General features: G+C 38.9%; 1 protein-coding gene across 25 annotated transcripts in view, besides 2 other annotated features; it reads right to left on the bottom strand.

Annotated features, from left to right (window-relative positions):
- The window catches only part of KDM6A (lysine demethylase 6A), a 239,592-nt gene that overhangs the window by 139,333 nt on the left and 76,385 nt on the right, over positions 1-23,874 (bottom strand). For 24 of the 25 annotated variants that reach the window (NR_111960.2, XR_007068200.1, NM_001419809.1 and 21 more), the window contains one exon: positions 12,055-12,163. Coding sequence is in view for 19 of the 25 variants with exons in the window: in NM_001419809.1 (NP_001406738.1) it covers positions 12,055-12,163 (109 nt within the window). In the remaining 6 variants the exon portion in view is untranslated. Of the gene's footprint in view, positions 1-12,054; positions 12,164-22,251; positions 22,297-23,874 lie in introns of those variants that run through there. The other variant, XM_047442428.1, reaches the window with a different exon arrangement.
- Positions 1,449-1,743: an enhancer, noted in NCBI's record as "tiled region #12888; K562 Activating DNase matched - State 8:EnhW". NCBI's record gives its function as "activates a minimal TATA promoter and a strong SV40 promoter by Sharpr-MPRA in K562 cells {active_cell/tissue: K562}" and the evidence as "EXISTENCE:reporter gene assay evidence [ECO:0000049][PMID:27701403]".
- Positions 20,436-20,961: an enhancer, noted in NCBI's record as "H3K27ac hESC enhancer chrX:44811731-44812256 (GRCh37/hg19 assembly coordinates)". NCBI's record gives its function as "activates a minimal SCP1, AML or CMV promoter by ChIP-STARR-seq in naive H9 embryonic stem cells {active_cell/tissue: H9 hESC(naive)}" and the evidence as "EXISTENCE:reporter gene assay evidence [ECO:0000049][PMID:30033119]".

The following is a 23,874-nucleotide window of genomic DNA, read 5'->3' as shown; positions in this document are numbered from 1 at the left end:
ATTATCTCCCAAATAACTTTCCTGAAGAAAAATCTGACAAATATGCTCCCCTTAAAGGAGAGTATATACAAGAAAGAAGAAGATATGGTTTATTGAAAGCAGGAGACACAACAGAGACAAGAGGCCATGGGAATACCCAAGATGAAGAAAAAGGGTGATCCCAGGACAGCAGCTATGCCCCAGATCCAAGTCACTGAGGCTTATCATTAAAATTCTGCTGCTCTTGTAACCTCTTCTCAACCTGAGGACCAAATACCCAGATAAACCTGGCCCAGATTCTTAACTGGGCTTGGCTTTTTTTTGACCATGTTCTGATAAAGTTTCTATTCTCCCCTCTATATTCTACAAAATAGATGATGTGAAGGCTCCCAGAAGTGTTAAGTGTTCTGCTTTGATTTACTTTTTTTTTTTTGAGATGGGGTCTCACTCTGTTGCCCAGGCTGGAATGCAGTGGGGTGATCTTGGCTCACTGCAATCTCCGCCTCCCAGGTTCAAGTGATTCTCCTGCCTCAGCCTCCTGAGTAGCTGGGATTACAGGCGCGTGCCACCATGCCCAGCTAATTTTTGTATTTTTAGTAGAGGCGGGGTTTCACCATTTTGGCCAGGCTGGTCTCGAACTCCCGACCTCAAGTGATCCACCTGCCTTGGCATCCCAAAGTGTGGGATTACAGGTGTGAGCCACCATGACCGGCCTGATTTGATTTACTTCTGAATAACCCACTCTCTCTGTTCATATTCCTGACCAGATTTTCCTGGTTCATATTGGTCATGTCATATGTCCTAATTATGGGTATTATGTTTGCCAAGAGTCACACATGCCCCAGCACACTGCCTTCCCCAAAAGTGGCTCTTGTAAACTATTGAGGAACCAGAAGCCACATTATAACGCTAAAATCTCTTCTTTAGTTTTACTTCTCCCAAGAGCCTCCTCTAAATAGTGACAATATGGCCCCTTCCTTACATAGCTATGTTCGTGCCTGCTATTCAGCTTTCCAAAGATAAACGGTATCTTGTTCAGGGATACTTTTATCAGTGGATTAAAAAAAAAAGAAAGAAAGGCAAGAGAACACTGAACATCACAGCCAGGCATGGGTTACACCTACAGAGGAAGGGAGGAGGATGCAACTGGAGAGAACACAGGCTTGTGGTAGCAGTATCATTCTATTTCTTAACTTGTAGAGTAGGTAGACAGGTGTCAATTTTAATAGTCTTTAAACCATATATAGGTTTTTAGACATTCTACTTAAGTATAATATGCTGCTCAATTTAAGGATCAGAAACTAGCAAAAAACATTTTACAACACACTGCATGTTACCCTTCACTAGTGACCAAGTTGTTTCTTCAACAAAGCAGTAAATAAAACATTATCTTCTGACTATATGTTAGGGACAAACCGCCCCAAAAAAGCTTCTTGGTATTGCCAACACTCCCCCCAAACCCCTGCGTACTGCCCACCCCTTGCCTTAACGCCCTGCAACCCTTCTCTGTGCCGTTCACCCTTCCCCCAGCCTCTTTACTTTTCTAAGCTCTTATCCAGGCGCCCCAGTGGAGCCAGCAGACTTCACTTATCAGACCTTGCTGCGATAAGCAAACCCCAATTACAAACCATCCAGACTGCACAGGGGAGGTCGTGGGAAGCATAAACAAACTTTACCTAAACCCTCCTGTAAGTTCCTTCATCTGGCTGCTACCATAAATGTCACAAGGTTATATATGGCAAAGTTAACCAACAAACGACCCCAGGGTCTCTCTCCCCCATATAAACCCCTCATTTTGTAAGCTCAGGGCTGCCTCCTCTGTCTGTGGTGGAGCAGCCAGCAGGTTCAATAAACTTACTCGCCTGACTTTGGGTCTATTTTTCCTTTCTCTCGGCTGACCTTACAATATATGAGATGCTGAATAAAAGAAGATTTACCAAAAATGGAAGTTAATGTTTTCTGAAACTCTATATGAAATGTTTTCATTTTACTGTAAATTGCCAAAATATATATAAAATCATATAAAGAACATTCTGAATATGTTCAAATTACAGAAACATTACCCAAAAACATCATCACATATCTGAAAAAATAACTTTTACATATGAATAATGCTCATCTTTTTTGCATAAAGATGATGCCAACCAACCTATCACTGGAAGGACGTTAGACTATGAGAAATTTTTCCAGTTGTGGTGAAGAACTGGTTTTAAGCCATCTCCCATTTCCTAGTTCTTCATGCATGAGGGTAGCTAGTTTATAAAGGTCATTAATTAATGGTCTTCTAAAAAGAAAAGCAAACCAAATTTATCAAACCAGCTGTAGAAAAAAAATAGTCAAGCAAGAGTTTGTGTAGTCAATGGTGTGGCTGATTTTCTCACATTCATTTCTAACCACACTCTCAATCCCCGTTATTGATTTGAAAAGGTTATCAGTTTCCTGGCAATCTCGGTGATTGTTTTAGTCCAGAAATGGGCACATGAGCTCAGGTGGCCCAATCACCACTGATTTATAGATGACAGACATGAAAAAGGTTCTCTGTCTACTAATGGATGTGAACAAGGAAGCATATATTACCAACTGCCACCACGAGGGAACTATCTTGGGATGAAGCCCACAGCACAGAAGAAACAGACTGAAAAGTAACTGGATCCTTCTAGACTTCAAACCATGCCTGGAGAAAAATCCACCTATGAACTTCCTATTATGTGAGGTAATAAATGTCCTTATTGTTTAAGCTAGAATCAGGTATTTAATACTTGTACCTAAAAACATGCTGAAAACAGAAGACTTGGTCCCTGACAATTTTGTGCAGTCACCATATCAAACCTGGAGATTGCCCTTGTAATGATATTACAGAATTTCCACAAATTTGGAGGGCATACTTTCAATAATTTGATTAATTATATATATCATCTGGCTTCATAAAATTCTCTTTTAGGATTGGGGAACCTTTAAAAAGACAGTATGATGTCTTCTAAAGCAAATAAAACTGAAGTATAAGAAGTCCATGTGATGTGAAAAGATGTTACAAAAAAACCCCCAAAGAAATAAAAAATTAAAGAGAAAAAATAAAATATTTTAAAAAAGAAGTCCATGTAATTATCAGTTGGGAGAAACATGGCATCCATACAAAAATATGGTGAACTGAGAAATAAATATGAATGCTCAAATTCAAAGTCACAAAGTTAATACTCTAAATGGCAGGAACAGATTTGTAATTGAGCCATTTCTTCCATGAGCATTTGTTCCATTTCTTCCATAGTGATCTTTCTACTCGTTTACACATTTTATAAACAATTATACTCTACCCTCATTATGCTTAGCATCTTATTTTAAGAAGGATCTTAACGTGCTGTTTCTTAATCAGAAAAAAAATCATTAAAACTCTAAAGGTGCAGTATGCAAGTACCCATCACCTCACCAAAGTCTCTCTAGTAAAATCCTTTTGACCAAAGCACAGTCCTTATTTCTAATCTTTAAGGTAGTTATCCATAAAAAAATTCCTAGTCTACTGTAACTAGAATTTTCTAAAGTCCTTAATACAGAATGAGGGAAATCATTTATTTGGACATCCTCATACAATGCTTAAAACCTGTTTTAGAATGATTACAGAAAATGGATTAAAAAATTGACAATTTTGGAGAAGCCAAACAAAATCTATGATTGGAAAACACACATTTCATGTTCTTATACTATAAATATTCCAGGATAGAGTACTGTCATTCAACCCACAAAAGACAAAAAGAGAGGGCCGGGCGCAGTGGCTCACGCCTGTAATCCCAGCACTTTGGGAGGCCGAGGCAGGCGGATCACAAGGTCAGGAGATCGAGACCATCCTGGCTAACACGGTGAAACCCTGTCTCTACTAAAAATAGAAAAATTAGCCGGGCGTGGTGGCGGGCACCTGTAGTACCAGCTACTCAGGAGGCTGAGGCAGGAGAATGGCGTGAACCCGGGAGGCAGAGCTTGCAGTGAGCCGAGATCGCGCCACTGGACTCCAGCCTGGGCAACAGAGCAAGACTCCATCTCAAAAAAAAAAAAAAAAAAAAAAAAGATAAAAAGAGAAAGAAAACCCTCCAAGCTCTAACTTAAGGCTTCTCCACATTGGCAGCTCTTGGCATGTAACTTGCCCTGGCCATTTGTAACTGCTTAAGAATTGAAACAACCAAAGCATATTTTGCCCAAAAGTGACAGAAATGCAACAAACGACCAATTACTTGAGGGAAGGAAGAATGCAAGAAAAATCTATCACTGGCTAGAATTTCAGGGAACTTATAATTGGGAAAACTTCCAGCTCAAAAATATGAAGAAACAATTTTTAAGAGTTTCAAGGTTTTCATATTAATGTCAGGAATGATTATTACACTCCTCTAATTTTTTACTTCTGAAGTTCTTACTGTCTATCCTTTAAGTCTCCTGCCTCGTAATTTCTGTTTATAATTTTGCTATGTACTTTGAAATAATCTGCTACCTAATTTTTTTTTTTTTTTTTTTGAGATGGAGTTTCATTCTTACTGTCCAGGCTGGAGTGCAATGGCGTGATCTCAGCTCACCGCAACCTCCACCTCCTGGGTTCAAGCAATTCTCCTGCCTTAGCCGCTCAAGTAGCTGAGATTACAGGCATGCGCCACCACGCCCTGCTAATTTTTTATTTCTAGTAGAGACGGTGTTTCTCCATGTTGGTCAGGCTGGTCTAGAGTTCCTGACCTCAGGTGATCCGCCCGCCTCGGCCTCCCAAAGTGCTGGGATTAAAGGAGTGAGCCACTGTGCCCAGCTGCTACCTGATTTTCTAATCAACTAATTTAACCTCCGTGACTCTCTTTACCTATATTTTACCACATATTTATAGATATTTACACTTATTTTCTATTAACTGCTCCTAAGATCCATCACATATATTCATCTAAATACATATGCTTGGGCTTCAGCCCAGGGTTATGTATCTCTCAGGGTGTCCTCCAACCCAAAGAAGTGAAATCACTGCATAATCTCCATGGTTTAAGGCTTATAAGCTATCTGAGAGCCCCATCAGCAATTTGGCTTCGGAGGTTCATGGGTTAGCTTTAGAGTTAGGAGTAAAAAGGAGGTATAGTAGACACTGTAAAGAAGCACTCATATCCCACTTCAAGAAAGAACTGCTGGGAATCCTGCTTGCTGAAAGCCTCTATCTGTGAGATTCTACAGAAGCTGCCTCAGTTGCAGAGAGCCAACTTGTCCCTGGTCACAGTTCTTCTCAGGCTGGCCCATGTTCAATATGGAATAATTGGAGTATAAAGGCCTGGCTATCTTGGCCCAACTTGGTATAGCTCTCAAGGGCCATTCTGGCTCCAGAGCATCCCATGAAGTTAGTAAAGGCTGTCACAGCTTAACTTCTCCTTCTGTCCAATACTGGTTCTACCCTCCACCTTCCAAAGCTGTTGAACATAAAGGAAACTCCTTACTGAGGAACATAACCTACAACAATAGACTGACTGCAGTGAGCCTCCATTTTCCCACAATCCCCTATCCAATTACTATTTTAAGACTTAAAATAAATTCCTACAAGTAAAATGACCAAATAAAGTGACATGACATTTTTTTAAACTCTTCATTCATATCACCAGCCAGAAAAGCTAAGAAAATATTTTACAAAGCCTTTTTTCCTTCTGCATCAAATTCATCTGGAATCACAGAAAAGATAAATGATTACCAAATTATACCATCTTCAGACCAAAATTGTTTCTTGGAATTCTTGTAAGACAGAAAGTAGATGAGAGCAAAATGACAATTAAGGGTAAGAAAAACCACAGCCCAAAACACACACAAAACAGGTTCTACCATTTTCTACTATAGAAATAGAAGCCTTTTTTTGTTTGTTTTTTTTAAAGGAACTAAACTCAAGAGAAATGCCAAGCTCAGAAAACTTTACACAGAAAAGATGACTATGAATCAGGGCAAATAATTACAGGGCTGTCTTCAGAAGAACAAGGCCAGTAAGTCGCCTATGTACATATACCTGAGCAGTTCACTCACAGAATTACACATTTACTACATGGTTTACTCCCAGGAAGTTATGGTTTATAATGTGTTCTCTAAAAATAAATGTCTATTTGCCCAGGGTTAGTAGTTCTCTTATCCTGTACTAGATCCAAAGAGAGGAGAAGGAGGTAGCCAAAGGTAACAAATGTCTCTATAAACTGGTAATCTTGAGGGTATGAGTATGTGTTGGAGAGGAAGGGAGAGGGCTATTAGAGACAGATTCTAGTTTTGGACTTGGAGAAAGACAATGAAGAGAACAGATAGAGAATTTTATTTTAGCCAGGTGCGGTGGCTCACGCCTGTAATCCCAGCACTTTGGGAGGCCAAAGCAGGCGGATCACAAGGTCAGGAGATCAAGACCATCCTGGCTAACACAGTGAAACCCCGTCTCTACTAAAAAGTACAAAAAATTAGCCGGGCGTGGTGGCGGGCGCCTGTAGTCCCAGCTACTCGGGAGGCTAAGGCAGGAGAATGGCGTGAACCCGGGAGGCGGAGCTTGCAGTGAGCCGAGATTGCACCATTGCACTCCAGCCTGGGCGACAGAGCGAGACTCTGTCTCAAAAAAAAAAAAAAAAAAGAGAGAGAGAGAGAATTTATTTTAAGTGGCAACATGCCTTAAAAAGCCTCAAAGAGGATTTCAAAAAATAAATAACAAAACACATCTAGGAAATAGAAACCACCAGCTTGAAATATTAAAATATACTGAATACATTTGCATACCCCTGCATCCATTTTCTCCTTCCTCTTCCCCCTATTACACATTAATCAAGCTGCTAACTACCTATCAATGCCCAGGTCATCTACACAACACTAAATGAAGCACATGTTTTCAAGGACTTAAATCCTTAGATTATCCTTCTCTTCTCTCACCTTACTAGATTACTCTCACCAGCTAGTTTGCTAACACAGTCTAGTTGCCACATGCCCTCCCTTCCAAAAAAGAAAACACATATCCAAGATCAATCTCCTTGGATTCATTACCTTCATAACCAAAATTTTTAAGTGGCCAGGCATGGTGGCTCACACCTGTAATCTCAACACTTTGGGAGGCTGAGGCGGGAGGATCGCTGGAGCCCAGGGGTTCAAGACTAGCCTGGGAAACAAAGCAAGACCTCTGTCTCTAAAAAAAGTACAAAAAATAGTTAGGCGTGGTGGCGCGCACCTCTAGTTCCAGCTACTCAGGAGGCTGAGGTAGGAGAATCACTTGAGCCCAGGAGTTTGGGGCTGCAGTGAACCATGTTTCTGCCACTGCACTCCAGCCTGGGTGACAAAGCAAGACCCTGTCTCAAAAAATAAAATTAAAAAAAAAATATATATATATATGTGAAAAATAAAGCTATAGTCACAGTCTAACATAGTGTTAAAAGTTAAAAGATTTATTGTTTAACAACCACTAAGTAGCAAGTACACGTAGCCTCATATGTAAACCTAATTTTCAAGTCTAGGTCTCTCTTTACATGCTCTCAAAATAGCATGTCCTCCAACTACATAAAGGTGCAGCAATAAAAAAGTAGCAGATTGCATAGAATTCTACAGGCATACCCTGTTTTATTGCACTTTGCTTTATTGTGCTTCACAGATATTTGCGTTCTTTACAAATTGAAGGCTCACAGCAACCCTGTGTAGAGCAAGTCTATCGGTGTCATTTTTCCAACAGCCATGTGCTCACTTAATGGCTCTGTGTCACATTTTGGTAAACCAATATTCCATACATTTTCATTATTATTGTTATCTGTTATGATGACCTGTGATCACCGATCTTTGGTGTTACTACTGTAATTGTTTTGGGGAATCACTAACTGTGCCCACATAAGACAGTAAACAATCGATAACTGTTGCATGTGTTCTGACTACTCCACCAACAGGCCATTCCCTAGTCTCTCTCCCTCTCCTTGGGCTTCTGTATTCCCTAATACATGACAACATTGAAATTATGCATATTAATAACCCTACGATGACCTCTTAGTGTACAAGTGAAAGAAAGAGTTACGCATCTCTCACTTTAAATCCAAAGCTAGAAATCATTAAGCTTAGTGAGGAAGGCACTTTGAAAGCTGAGACAGACCAAAAGCTAGGCCTCTTGTGCCAAACAGCCAAGTTACGAATGCAAAGGAAACATTCTTGGAGGAAATTTGAAGTGCTATTCCAGTGAATGCACAAAAGACAAGGAAGCAAAAACAGCCTTACTGCTGATATGGACATGGTCTGAGTGGTCTGGATAAAACATCAAACCAGCCACAACATTCCCTTAAGCCAAAGCCTACTCCAGTGAAAGGCCCTAACTCTCTCCTTAGTTCTATGAAGGCCAAGAGAAGTGAAGAAGCTGCAGAAGAAAAGTGTAAAGCTAGCAGAGGTTGGTTCGTGAAGTTTAAGGAAAGAAGCCATCTCCATAACACAAAAGCGCAAGATGAGGCAGCAAGTGCTGATGGAGAAGTGTAGCAAATTATCCAGAAGATCTAGCTAAGATCACTGATAAAGGTAGCTACACTAAACAACAGATTTTCAATCTCCGTGAAACAGCCTTCTATTGAGGAAGATGCCATGTAGGACTTTCAGATGTAGGACTTTCATCAACATCTGGCTTCAAAGTTTCAAAGGACAGACTGACACTCTTGTTAGGAACTAATGCTGGTGGTGCCTTTAAGTGGAAGCAATTGCTCATTTACCATTCAGAAAATCCTAGGGACCTCAAGAAATATGCTAAATCTACTGTCTATGCTCTATAAATAGAACAACAAAGTCTGAATGACAGCACATCTGTTCACAGCACAGTCGACTGAATATTTTCAGCCCACTGTTGAGAACTATTGTTCAGAAAAAAAGACTCCTTTCAAAATATTATTGCTCACCGACAATGCACCTGGTTACCCAAGAGCTCTGATGGAGATGTACAAGCAGATTAATGTTGTTTTCATGCCTGCTAACACAACATCCATTCTGCAGCCTATGCATCAAGGAGTAATTTTGACTTCCAAGTCTTTTTTTTTTTTTTTTTTCTGAGACAGAGTCTCACTCTGTCACCCAGGCTGGAGTGCAATGGTGCGATCTCAGCTCACTGCAACCTCCCCCTTCTGGGTTCAAGTGATTCTCCTTCCTCAACCTCCTGAGTAGCTGGGAATACAGGCACACACCACCGCACCCAGCCAATTTTTGTATTTTTAGTAGAGACGGGGTTTCACCAGGTTAGCCAGGTGGGTCTCGACTCTTGACCTCAGGTAATCCACCTACCGAGGCCTCCCAAAGAGCTGGGATTACAGGCGTGAGCCACCGCACCCGGCCTCAAATCTTATTAAAGTAATACATTTTGTAAGACTATATAGCTGCCATAAATAGTGATTCCTCTCATGGATCTCGGGAAAGTAAATTGAAAGCCTTCTGGAAAAGATTCATCATTCTTGATGCCATTAAGAACATTTGAGGTCAAAAGGCCGGGCGCAGTGGCTCATGCCTGTGTAACCCCAGCACTTTGGGAGGCTGAAGTAGGCAGATCACCTGAGGTCAGGAGTTCGCGACCAGCCTGACCAACTTGGTGAAACCCTGTCTCTACTAAAAATATAAAATTACCCAGGCATGGTGTCGCATGCCTGTAATCCCAGCTACTCAGGAGGCTGAGGCAGGAGACTCGCTTGAACCCAGGAGGCGGAGGTTGCAGTGAGCTGAGATCACGCCACTGCACTCCAGCCTAGGCAACAAGAACATTTGAGGTCTAAATACCGACATTAGCAGGAGTCTGGAAGAAGTTGATTCCCATCCCTCCCCATAGATGACTTTGATGGGTTCAAGATTTCAATGGAGGAAGTAACTGTAGATGTGCTGGAAACAGCAAAAGAAACAGAATTAGAAGTGGAGCCTGAATGGATAAGGAACTGCTTCTTATAGATGAGCAAAGAAAGTAGTTTCTTTAAAAAAGAGACACAGAGAGAGACAGAGACAGACAGACAGACAGAGACAGACAGACAGACACACACACACACACACACACACACACACACACACACACACACACTCTGTCACCCTGGCTGGAGTGCAGTGATATGATCCCAGCTCACCATAGCCTCAACCTCCTCAACCTCCCAGGTTCAAGTGTTCCTCCCACTTCAGCCTCCAGGGTAGGTGCATGCCACCATACTCAGCTAAATTTTTTTTTTTAAGATAGGGGGTCTCGCTATGTTGTCCAGGCTGGTCTTGAACTCCTGGGCTCAAGTAATCCTCCTGCCTTGGCCTCCCAAAATGCTGGAATCACAGGCGTGAGCCACCGTGCCTGGCCAAAAGGAGTTTCTTGAAATAGAATCTACTCCTGATAAAGGTGCTGTGAACACTGTGGAAATGATAACAACAAATTTAGAATATTACGTAAACTTAGTTAACAGAGTAGTGGCAGGGTTGAGAGGACTGACTCCATTTCTGAAAGAAGCTCTACTGTGAGTAAAATGCTTTCAAACAGCATCATATGCTACAGAGAAACCTTTCATGAAAGGAAGAGTCCACTGATGCGACAAAGTTCAATGTTTTCTTATTTTAACAAACTGCCACAGCCACCCCAACCTGCAGCAACCACCACCCTGATCACTCAGCACATATCAACAACGATGCCAAGACCCTCCATCAGCAAAAAGATTAGAACTTGATGAAAGCTCAGTTGATTGTTAGCACTTTTTAGCAAGAAAGTTTTTTTTAACTAAAGTATGTACATTTTTTAGACATAATGCTACTGCACACTTACAGTGCAAACATAACTTTTATATGTAATAGGAAACAAAAAAATTTTGTTTGATTGGTTTTATTACAATATTCGCAATAAATTGCAGGGGTCTGAAATCAAACCTGCAATATCTCCCAGGTATGCCTCTATCTATTTTTTGGTACAATAGTTTCCTTTAAATAAGTTTCCAGTTTTAATTAAAAATAAAATATCTAACGGAGTATTAAGTAACTATTAACACCCATTACCCTGTTGGACTGAAACCATTTTGCTAAGTACTAACCAGTGTCACACAATCTGAAAATCCATGAGGCGTCATCCCTCACCTCCTCCCCTTTTACAGATCAGACAACAGATACTCAGCGATGTTTATATATAATCTGTTAAAGGTAGTGCAGCTGTATATAACAGAGCTAAGCTGAGAAATAAGCCTAATTTCAAACCTCACAGAATATGCCTGTCTCAGACTAAAATTGCATTTTCATTAGGAAAACATTCACTTGACCTAACATAAAAGTCGCATAATAAAACATCAATATGAAATACTAACAATCCTTCACTTTAGCCCTGAAACTATCTGCCAGGTGTTTTGCCCTCTAAACACACTTGTTGAAAACAAGCATAACACATCCATCCACTCCACATCAAAATGTTTACTATCATCAAAAGGTTAAAATGTTCTTGGTCATAATAATAATTTTCTTTTAATGTGGATTTTTTCTTTGGTATTGGAAGGGCGGGGTTTCCGGGTGCTTTTAACTTCCTGAGTAATGGTCTGAGTTGGCAGCTTGGTACCATAAAAAGGGCAAATCTTAGGGGGCTGACTACTTTCAGTTATTTAACTCACTTATTTCTTAAAGGAAAAACATTTCAAGTAAATTTTAAAAACTGGTTTTATCCAAGGCTCATCTGTGATCATCTCTCTGTATTACTTGTTTACAATAACATGGCTACTTAACGATCAGATTTTCATTCAAATATTTTTGAGCTAAAATGGAAACGTTTTAAATAGGATAAAGAAAAATGGTGAGTTTTTGTTACCTTTCCAAAGTATCCATCAATGTACAAATATCTATATCAAACTGGGTCACTTTCTACTATGGGAAGGCCTTTCAAGAGCAAGGATTTTCACAAGGCAGAACAAAACTGCACTGAACATGCAGGTGGTTTTCACTTTTACTGAATAGCCAACTTATTGATGATTTCCATTTCCATCTACTCTACTTTTCTTCCTCATTGTTTAGTTTGCTCATGCACTTACAATTTCTTAGGAAAATCCTCTTGATAAAGCACAAATAATTACAATCCAACACATGTATAAATCAAACAATAATGAACAAGAAAAAAATTACCTTTTGGATAATCTTCCAATAAGAGGTTGAAGTGACCTAATTGACAAAAGAAATCAGACTCCACTTTTCCTTCAGCTTTTAAGATTAGAGATTCATAGCAGCGAACAGCCTAGAAATAAAAAAATACAAATATGTAAGCAAAAAATAAAGCCCTAAAATACATTTCCTCCCCAAGATAATGCATATAGCCTCCATTCGATCACCTAAGAAGTCAATATTGAAAATTTCACTTCTATCTTAGACATATTCAATACAACATTCTATAGAAGGAACAGCTTCCCTATGTATTTATTAAAAGAGCCACTAGTTATGGCATAAGTGCTTTTCCCATCTATACATGGAAACAATACTTGCCAAATAAGATAATATAGGAGCACTTTGATAATTTTATTCATAAGTTGAAAGTCTAAATTATTACTGTGGTCCCTGTTGATATAAACAAAACTGCTCTCAAATATAAATAATATGCATCTTTCCCACAGGTGAGAAGAACTTTATTGAATTATGTGAGATCTCACAGAATCTCTAGAGTAATAAAAATACCTACAATTTACACTGAACTGCTTTTACTGACTTTTTGCCAGACCTCTACCAGTTTTAAACTACCATATACTGCCTTTCCATTGTCTTCTCCACATGATATACTTCACACACCAACTGCTTCTGATCTTACTTCCTAACTCCAATTCATGCACATGCTCTCACTCTCACATTTCCTCTCCCAAAGAAAAAAATAACACTATTTTAACAATATAAATTCGTTTTTATAACACAGGACAACTGCAGGAGAAAATGAACAACGGAAAGAACCCAGTTCTAGGGCTTGATGACAAATTCCAGTTGTCATTTGCTACAGGAGATCCTGGGGAATTTATCCTTTCTATTTTAGTAACACTCAAAGAGCTGATAAAAGGATTAAAACTAGAAAACTTCTCTAAGGCTTTATCTCAGTGTTCAGGACACAATAGGTACTTAATTGTTTCTTTATCTTCACGGGTAATAACAAAGCTCTAATTCTCTCAAGGTTCCCAATAATTTTGTCAAAATTTCTCCCATTAACAATTAAGTGCTCCGTAACATTGCTCTGTTAATAATGTGTCCCAGAGTCATTAAAGTAAGAAATGTGTGTGAATTCTCAAATCTCTGATATACTCCCAGGAACACTTGCAAGTTTGGTATCCACAAAGAAAGAAACTTGGTTAGTTTCTATCACAATAAAAAACTTTCACTACCATTTCAAGAACTTTGTTGAGATAAGAAAATGTGATGTGGGACAGAGTACTCACTTCGAATGCCTTCATTTTTCCTCTCCTGTGAAATACAGAGCCTTTAATATAGAGTTTAAAAATTTATATCCTAACATTTACCTATCCTAAGCACATAAATATTCAACAAGTTTGGATAATCCATTCTAAACAAGGCGAATTCTAGGCTGAGTCTATTATCCTTAAAGCCTAAGGGTTTACAAAAGAACTTGTCTTCAATTCCTGTTCTACTCTTAGCTATATGTACCAAATCACAATCACTGAAAATTAATCTTTCTGCTTCCCTATAATTAAAAAAGTCTGAATGCTACACTGAAGTCTCAGAAATTACTATAATCTGAAGGTATGAAATTTCAAAATCCTTTTTATTTAAGTCATATATAATTCTTATCTGGCAGATGGCTAGAGTATAAAAATACAATTTATTACAGTGCTTTATAATATCAGAGAAATTCATAACATTATTGGGATACATTACAATTCTTAATTTTACATTAATGAATAAGAATATTGTAAATAAAGTTCTCATAATAGTGAGCGTATTTTTTTTAAAACTCTTAGGTTATTTATAAACCTTTCCTACTCCTCTGAGAGCTTCATATGGCTGATTAACATTAAATTTATAAGCAACTATGTTTTCATGGTAAAAAGGATTCAAGACATAAACACAAATTTACTTTAATGATATAAACAAAAAAGATGCCAACATTCTCTACTTCCTCTTATCACCCTTCATGCCACTGCCTTGATCATCAATTGCCTATCTTCTACTTGTCATAAAACTAAGGAACACACCAAAATTAATATTATACATAATGCTGATCATCATGAAATATAAAATCAGGTAAAAACCAGAATGGTTGATTTTAAATTCAGGTACCCATACACTCAGGCCTGATTAACAAATTCTTAATAATTTCCCCATAAAGCTGCCATGCACCTACCAAACAACGTTGGTGGTCAATGATGCTGACAGAGCCAAACATCAAATGAGATGAAAATGAGCAAAAAGGCAGAAGAAAGTTGCCAAGCACTCTGTATTACTACTTCATAGTGAAACTTCATGAATTTATTTGAAGTATCTCAGGTAATTCTAATATCAGATACAGCCAAATATCTAACACACTTTTTAAAGAACATTTAAAGGAAAATAAATAACTTGAGATAATTTCCAATATTCCTAACTCATACAATAATCTACAATAAAACACAGAATTTTTATATTTTTACTCAAAAGGCTAATGATAACAGAAGATACATACTGTTTAGATTCAGAACAACATTCAGATAAACTTCCATAAAGCAAAAATATCTCCAGTCAATAGGATTATTTTTATTTCTTGCTTTTAAAATTTTAAATGTACACAAGTAAAATTATCCCTGTACAGTAGCTTTGTACACAACTGCAGAGAAGAAGGACTGGAATATAAAACAGGTACTAAAAAAAGAAAGTCTACGGGCACATGTTCTCAGGATCTCCTGAGGGCTGTGTCACAGCAAAAAAAAAAAAAAAAAAAAAAAAAGGTCTATATAGTTGTCCCACACAGAATCTTCCTTGTATTTTGTTCATTTTACTTTTCTATATTTTTTAGATTTTTTTCATAATTAACCTCTATCATTTCCATTCTTATAAAAATCATTAAAAGGGCCGGGCGTGGTGGCTCATGCCTGTAATCCCAGCACTTTGGGAGGCTGAGGCAGGCGGATCACAAGGTCAGGAGATGGAGACCATCCTGGCTATCACAGTGAAACTGTGTCTCTACTAAAAACACAAAAAATGAGCCAAGCGTAGTGGTGGGCGCCTGTAGTCCCAGCTACTCAGGAGGCTGGGGCAAGAGAATTGCTTGAACCCAGGAGGCGGAGGTTGCAGTGAGCCGAGATTGCGCCACTGCACTCCAGCCATGGGCGACAGAGCTAGACTCAGCCTCAAAAAAAAAAAAAAAAAATTCATTAAAGAATTATTATGCTTTCCCCTGAGGACTCATCCTATACCTTTAGTGTAAGGATTGTCAGAAATTTGAAAGAAAATCATTTGTGGTTGCATCAGCAATCAACAGAGCAATTTCTGCAATGATACAAATACCCTATGATCTGTGCTGTCCAATACAGTAGCCATTTAGACACATGTGGTTATTGAGCACTTTGAAACATGGTTAGTGCAAGTGGACAAGTGAATTTTTAAATTATTTCATTTTAATATTTAAACAAACATGTGGCTAATGGCTACCATACTGGACAGTACAGACCTAGATAATTCTTAAAGCCTAAAAACAACTTAATATTCAATCCGTATACTAAATATTAGGAAAGCAAAATTTCTTATGTTTATAAATGAAAAGCCTAATAAAATATCTTGCAGCAAGGAGGATAAAAGCAATACCCTCCACAAAAATTGTTACATCCTCTAATTGTTTATAGCTGGTGGATTGCACATCCATAATCCTTACTACCTACTAGGGAAAAAAACACTGAAAAGGGAAATAAATGAACTAAGATCCTCCCAGCTACGTAGAAAGCTTAGGTGTGTTTTTTATTTCCATCATAGTGCCATATTCCACAACATTCAATATAACTTGTGCTTGGTATCTGCTGCACTGTTATTATTTTAAAAATCAGCTATCCCAGAAAAGTAACGTTACCATTACCCCGTATTTCTAAACTCTGACAGGTGAAGTTTTGAGCTTGTGAACACAGACATGTAACTAATTTAATTTTTTTCATGTGCAGTATTAATCTTTTATGATGAACTTGGTCAGTGCCTTGCTAAAACAGGACGCTGTCAATATTTTAGAATTGTTAAATATATGCAACATTTAAACTTTTTTCTTTTCAACTTAAAAGATTAACTGCAGTAGCTGGGTGACTACAAATGGTAGAGAAAATACAGATTTTAATACCCCAATGGTTTTAAATGAGTGAAACTTTTAGGCTGAATATAATAAAAACAAATATGCAGTCCTGCCTATAATTTTTATTTTTATTTATTTATTTTTTTTTGAGATGGGGTTTCACTCTTGTTGCCCAGGCTGGAGTGCAACGGTGTGGTCTCAGCTCATTGCAACCTCGGCCTCCTGCGTGCAAGCGATTCTCCTGCCTCAGCCTCCCAGGTAGCTGGAATTATAGGCACCCACCACCATGCCCGGCTAATTTTTGTATTTTTAGTAGAGACTGGGTTTCACCATGTTGGCCAGGCTGGTCTCGAACTCCTGACCTCAAGTGATCCGCCCGCCTCAGCCTCCTAAAGTAGTGGGATTACAGGTGTGAGCCACCAATTATGAGCCCTACCCGTAATTTTTAAAAAGCCAACCATACGCATACACAATGGTTGAGCATCCAGCAACCAGCAGACTCCTTAAAATAGATTAAGGGATTTAAGCAGACAACAGGTCAATGTATCATCCATGAAATATGGCTATTTGGCCAGGCACGATGGCTCACGCCTATAATCCCAGCACGCCTATAATCCCAGCAAAAGGCAGGAGGATTCCTTGAGCCCAGGAGTTCGAGACCAGCCCAGGCAACATAGCGAGGCCTCGTCTCTACAAAAATTAAAAAAAATTACCCAGGCATGGTGTGGTGCATGCCTGTGATCCCAGCTACGTGGGAAGCTTGAAGCGGGAGGATGGCTTGGGTCTGGGAAGATGAGGCTACAATGAGCCATGATTGCACCACTGCACTCCAGCCTGGGCGACAGAGCAAGACCCTGTCAAAGGAAAAGGGAAAGGAAGAGGAAGAGGAAGAGGAAAAAGAAAAGGAAACGGAAGGAAATTTAAAAAATATTCATGGCCCAAATTAATAAATTATATTATACATATCAACAGCAATAATCAGCTCACCAAGGTCTAGTCTGATCAGATCTCTAGCATTATCAGTTCTGAATAGCACATTTCAACAGGTGATAACACAAAGAGGGCTACAAGTTTGGTAAAGGATGTGGAAACTGTCATATGAAAACTACCTTAACTAAGTTTAACTGAGGAAAATCAACAGGATTGAAGCTTTACTTAAATATTTAAAAAGCAGTCACTTAGATGAGAAGATTAATTGCACTTTGGATAGTGCCAATGAATGAGTATAACTTAATTCAGCTCATTCAGAAGGTAGGAAAAATTAAACACACCAAAAATTAAATGGGCCATCACTGGTTCATATAAATACAAAGAATTAAAGCATATATTACTAAGCTATTTTAGTGGGAGTTACAAAGGAGATACCTTATTTTGGATACAATTCTAATTTGCATTTTTAAAAAAATATCCTTGGACTCTATGATTCTAAGTACAACCCTGTAAAATTTATACAATAAAAAATAAGATAAAATTAAAAATTAAAAAAGAATTATGGTTTTTAGAAGCTTACAACTTTCTCAATAAAAGACTACTCAAGACAACGCAGTTTTAAAATAAGACTATTTTAGGGAAAAAGAAAAACCCCTATATTAACCTAATGGGGATAAATATTGCAAACATTTTTATTAAAATCACTGAAATATTAGCAGTTGTTTAATGGGTATAAAGTTTCAGTTTTACAAGATGAAAAGAGTTCTGGAGACTAACACTACTGAACAGTACATCTGAAAAGGTTACAATGGTAAATTGCATGTTATGTATATTTTGCACTAGTTTTTTTTTAAGGTACTAAACTAGATAATACCTGTGGATAATTAAAAATACTTAGTATTATACCAGTCACTCATCAATGAGCACCTACTCCATCCTGGTCACTTTTATTGGCTGCTAGGTATCCAAAGTGAAGACAAACTGGTTCCTGTCTCCTTTATTCTCCTGTATATCTTTTTTTTCTCCTGGATCCTCTTTTCTAACCCATCTGCCTTCCTCACTCCTCTTTCTTCCTTGGTTCTACCTTACTATCTTGATCCTTAACTAAAGATACTTTCCCAAGAGTCACTTTTGTGCACTATAAACTTCTGTTTACACAAGAGAAGCAGGGGTGGGGAGGGAATAAGAAGAAAGACAAAGAAGGAAGAAGAAATCTTTTAACTCTAAACAACTTATCAGACTTTTTCCACTTGGACATCCCAACATCATCTTAAATTCACCAAGTAAAAATTAAGTTTCTGGCACTGTTCAAAAATTCTCTCTTTAACTTTCCTTTTCATTAACAGCACCTAGTCAAATCATTTCTTTATGCCTACACATCTAATTGATTACTGCTAAGTCTTCCCTAACACTTCTCCCATAACCATTCCCCTTTTTCTTTTTACCTATTATTTCCGCAAATTCCAATGAATGCCCGTACTACACCGTTACTGCCACTTGTTGCTCCTTGACTGGTCTGTTTCTACAGCCCAACTCATACCCTAAACAAACAAAACCCACTCTTCCAGCAATGCTATTTATTGTCATGCTTCCCAGCTCTTAAACTTCCAATTATTTCCTACTGCCTATAACAGTGAGTACTTGGCTCCAGTCCCAGCCTACACATCCATATTTTTTCTTTCCCTGTTCCCCAACACAAAGCCCACTCTACTCCAACCCCACATCAAACTCTCATCCCACTAACTTCCTACATTTTTAACAGCTTGTTATTCAGACATCCTAAAGAGGTGGCAAACTATGTAACTATAGCAGATCACCCCTGGTACTTCTGACACAGATCAGTAAAAGAATTTGTTGCAGTAATCCAGACAATATCAAGAAAAGATGTTTCTCTACTGCACCACTACCATCACCACCACCGACTTAGTTATTAGAGTGTTTTCTTACTTTACATTATGTATAAAGAGACATAGTATCTAATGTATAATATTACTATTCTTCTGACCTGTTCCCAACAAATCCCTAAAAGTGTATGCATCATTAAACTTGATATCCTTTCCAGAAAGATGTGTCGTAAATCAGAAGGAAATTCTTCCTGTTTGCGGGTATTCGGCAATGCCTTTGCCTGGCTGCTTTTAAAACACCATAAATACACTTAAGAATTTAAAAGGATTGAAACTACCTGAATCTAAACCATTTTTGAAACGTCAACACATTATACTTTTTTTTTTTAATGAGGAAAGAGTTACAATTAAAATAATCTTAAGTATTATTATTATTTTTTTTTTTTTAAGGCAAGGTCTCACTCTGTCACCCAGGCTGGAGTGTAGTGGCACAATCACAGCTCACTGCAGCCTTGACCTCCCAGGCTTAGGTGCTCCTCCCACTTCAACCCCCTCAAGTGGCTGGGACTACAGGCACACGCCACCACGCCTGGCTAATTTTTGTACTCTTTGTAGAGACGGGGTTTCACCATGCTGGCCAGGCGGGTCTCAAACGATCCACCCGCCTTGGCCTCCCAAAGTGCTGGGATTACAGGCATAAAGTATTGCTGATTCTTAATGACATATCTACTCCTGAACTTATATATCAAACTTGCAGACTTTTTCCTTTTAATTTCATTTACTATTTTTGAAAGTCTATTTATCACCACTTCAAAAAGGCATATATACTAAAAAGTCTCTCTCCTAGTCCTGACCCCAGCCGCCCAGTTCCATTTCCCAGGAGCAACAAATATTTAAAATTTCTAACATATTCAAGATTATATTGTAAAGAAAAAGAAAAAAGAGATTATATCATGCAGATGTAAGCACATATACTTTTCCTACCTGATTAATATTTCTATAAATACTGTTTTGTGACTTGCTTCAGATTCTAGGTGTCTCAGATACCCTTTCTCCTCTTTGTTAATAGAACCCGTAAATTTAATTAGGCACATTTTTACACAGACTGAAGGCTGAGATTCCCAGCCATTCTTGTAGGTGTGGCTTGGTGATTAAATTCTGCCCAATGGAATATAAGGGAAAGACAGGCTCCACTTCATCCCCTCCTCTGCCTACTTGGGTAGAATCATCCAGATGGCAAGAACTTCAGTAACTCTCCTGGACTAAGAGGTAGATGCCATAGCTGAGATCCGCAGAGTAGGAAATGGAAGCCCATGTTCCTGGAACAGTAGAGTTCCAGTGCAGCCCAGAACTGACTGTTTTTGAGAATTCTTTAAGAGACAGATGTGTGTGTAACCCTCTTTCCTCGCTTAAGAACAAAAACAAAAAAAAAAACAAAGTTCGGTGCAATGGCTCATACCTGTAATCCCAGCACTTTGGGAGGCTGAGGTGGGGGGATTACTGGAGACCAGCCTGGGCAACATAGGGAGACTCCCATCTCTACAAAAACATTTTTAAAATTATGCTGGCATGATGGCACACACCTGTGGTCCCAGCTACTCAGGAGGCTGAGAGGTGGTAGGATCACTTAAGCCCAGGAGGTGGTGGCTGCGGTGAGCTGTGATCACGCCACTGCAGCCTGGGCAATGCAGTGAGACTCTGTCTCAAAACAAAACCAACAACAACAACAACAAAACAACTGCCTAATGAAATAATCATTAACACACACAAAAAGGATGGAGGGAAGAAAAAAGGAAACCCAGTTAATCGTCACCCATATCTAACATTTTCGAGATGATAAAGGAACTTAAACATTTGTCACTCTACCCTGTCTGTCTCTCTATTTCCTACTTTCAATTAATACACATCTTTTGTCAAAAGAGTCAGCAGAGGGGTTGAACGCGGTGGCTCGCGCCTATAATCACAGCACGGTGGGAGGCCGAGGCGGGTTGATCACCTGAGGTCAGGAGTTTGAGACCAACCAGGCCAACATGATGAAAACCTGCCTCTACTAAAAATACAAAAAATTAGCTGGGCGTGGTGGTGGGCGCCTGTAATTCCAGCTACTCAGGAGGCTGAGGCAGGAGAATCGCTCGAACCTAGGAAGCGGAGGTTCCAGTGAGCCGAGATCGCGCCACTGCATTCCAGCCTGGGCAATGACAGCAAAACTACGTCTCAAAAAAAAAAAAAAAAAGGTCAGTAGAATGAAAGTTAGATGCCAGTCTGAATCCCAGATTTTTCAGTCTCTTTGGGCCTACTACTCTGCATTCATGGGATGTGTTGAATGCTAATGAGTAAACAAGCATCATTCAACATTCAAGAAACCATCACTGGCACTTTAAGAACCATTCTTTTCAAATAAACTATTTAAAACACTTTGCTATTGCAAAATACTCTCAAAGAATTACACTATTGAAATCAAACTAGACAACTTAGTAAAGTGTTGATAGCTAATACTTGAGCTCTTGATATGTACCAAGCACTATTCTAAGCAACTTACATATACTTATTCTTTAATCCTCACAATTACTATGAAATGGGGTCTATTACAGTAATTAACCCTACTTCACTGACAGGAAAACTGAGGCCTAAATAAATCCTGTGCTCATGGTCACAAAGCTACAAACTAGCAAAGATTCAAACAGTATGGCTTCACAGCCTCTGAGCAGTAAGGTAGTTGACTCAGGTCATGCCCAGGGACCTAAAGTCATGTGCAAGAACGACCCTCTCCATAATCAGCTTTTTCTCCTACACACTAGCTCCTCCTCCCCAACTCCACACCAAGCAGAAAAGCAACACATAAAATTTCAACTCCCAGCTCTCACAAACCATTCCCAGACTTAGCCTCAGTTCTCTACCATATTTTTTCGCCCCTCTTTATTTTAAATCATTATAAAAAGCAATCATCACTATAACAAAAAATAAAAAATAAACAGACATAAACATATCCAAAACAAAAGTAACCCAACCAAAAAAAACTAAGTTCCCATATTCAAAAGACAACTGTGACAGAAAAATAAAACACTACTACATATATACATATGTATATGTATAAAATAATACACCAGTTCAGACTAAGTGTGGTATGTATCTGGAAAATGTTAAACAGCTTTATCCCACTTTTTGCAGCTTCAGAATGACAACTCCTTAGTTTACCTTGTGTTGCTGATTTTTCTCTCTTTAGTATTTTTGGCAAATGTTAGGAATAACGCTCAAAATCCTAAGGAAATTGAACACTCGAACAAAGGATTCTTAGCAAAGCAATTTTACCTCTGCACAGAGGGGTGCCTCCTTGGCCAGTCACCATGAGAGCACACCTGAACAAAGGGGCACGAGAGCCTTTATTCCTGATGCAAGTCCTGCCCCTGTACCCTTTCCTCATTGGCCGGGGTCGGGTCATACAATCTAAACTAATCCCGGTTGGCTGAACATTTGAATTTTTTTAGGTAAGATGGGCACGTAAAAGAAAGTGGAGAGGAAAGGGGAAGAGGTATCTGTAATGAGGTAGAAAGTTAGTCCTCTTTCCAAATAAGGAAAGGAATGTGAGCTGGTACTGATAACGCCTGATACTGTTGCGTGCCTGGGCATCTATAACAAAGGCAAAAAGGAAAAAAAAAAGGAGAAAAAGGAAAAAGGGGGAAGGGAGGGTACTATGAATTAAAGAATAAAAGATTGATCAGATTATTTGAAGAGAAACCTCATCATATCCCACAGCAAAGAAATGACAAATACAGCTGCAACAAAGCAAACTAAGCTGTACTGTCTCAATAGTCAACAAGTTGCTAGTTTACTACTAACTCCAAAACTTATCTCAGATGCATGCAACCACATGAATTAATGGATTCTATATTCACACACACAGACACACACACACACACACACTCACACCCAGGGTATACATTAAATAAAAAGAAGCTGTATTGACACAACAGCTGAGTTATTTTCCAAATTTTTTTGTAGCATCCTAAATGTAACATTGTAAAGATGGAATACATTCAAGTACATTATAAAGTCTCCTTACTCAAATTAAGCAACGAATTAAGCCTTAAATGATCTTTTAAAAACTGTATTTTGGGGCCAAGGACAGTATGAGAGATAATTTCACTTCAGAATGATCCTGTGATTTTCCATATGAAAAAGTTGGCAAGGCCGGGCGCAGGGGCTCACGCCTGTAAAGTAATCCCAGCACTTTGGGAGGCCGAGGCGGGTGGATCACGATGTCAGGAGTTCGAGACCAGGCTGGCCAATATGGTGAAACCCCATCTCTACTAAAAATACAAAAATCAGCCAGGCATGGTGGCACGCGCCTGTAGTCCCAGCTACTCGAAGGCAGAGGCAAAAGAATCGCTTGAACCCGGGAGGCGGAGCTTGCAGTGAGCAGAGATCGCGCCACTGCATTCCAGCCTAGGTGACAGAGCGAGACTCCATCTCAAAAAAAAAAAAAAGTTGGCATTATAACCCTTTATTTTTTAATTTAATTTGCTTGTGCTACTCCACAGGGTCTATTATTTACCTAGAGGTTGACAGAAACAGTCTTACAGCAATCATTATGCCTGTCATTTAAGCTGCACACATTTAACTCAGAATTCCAAAAAGATACATGTATAAAGAAAGCCCGCCTGCAGCAAAATTATGTAGACCATATCTTTATGAAGGTAAAAGACTACATTATTCTGCATGCTGTACCCTGGTTAAATATGTAGTTCAAATTAATATCTTTGGTAGCAAAGTATGCATTCCTTTGCCTTACACACATTTTTAAATAAATGCACATAAAAAGGAAAAAGCAAGCACTTCAGGTTGCATGAAAAGGTGGAAGAGATAGGGTTTATGAGCATGAGCTCCACTGAAAATATGCCTTGAATTCTACAACTTCTAAAATGTAGGCACTTA

This window comes from Homo sapiens, chromosome X (genome assembly GCF_000001405.40).
Source record: "Homo sapiens chromosome X, GRCh38.p14 Primary Assembly".
In the NCBI taxonomy this organism is placed as follows: Eukaryota; Metazoa; Chordata; class Mammalia; order Primates; family Hominidae; genus Homo; species Homo sapiens.
This window is presented reverse-complemented; position numbering and strand designations above follow the sequence as displayed.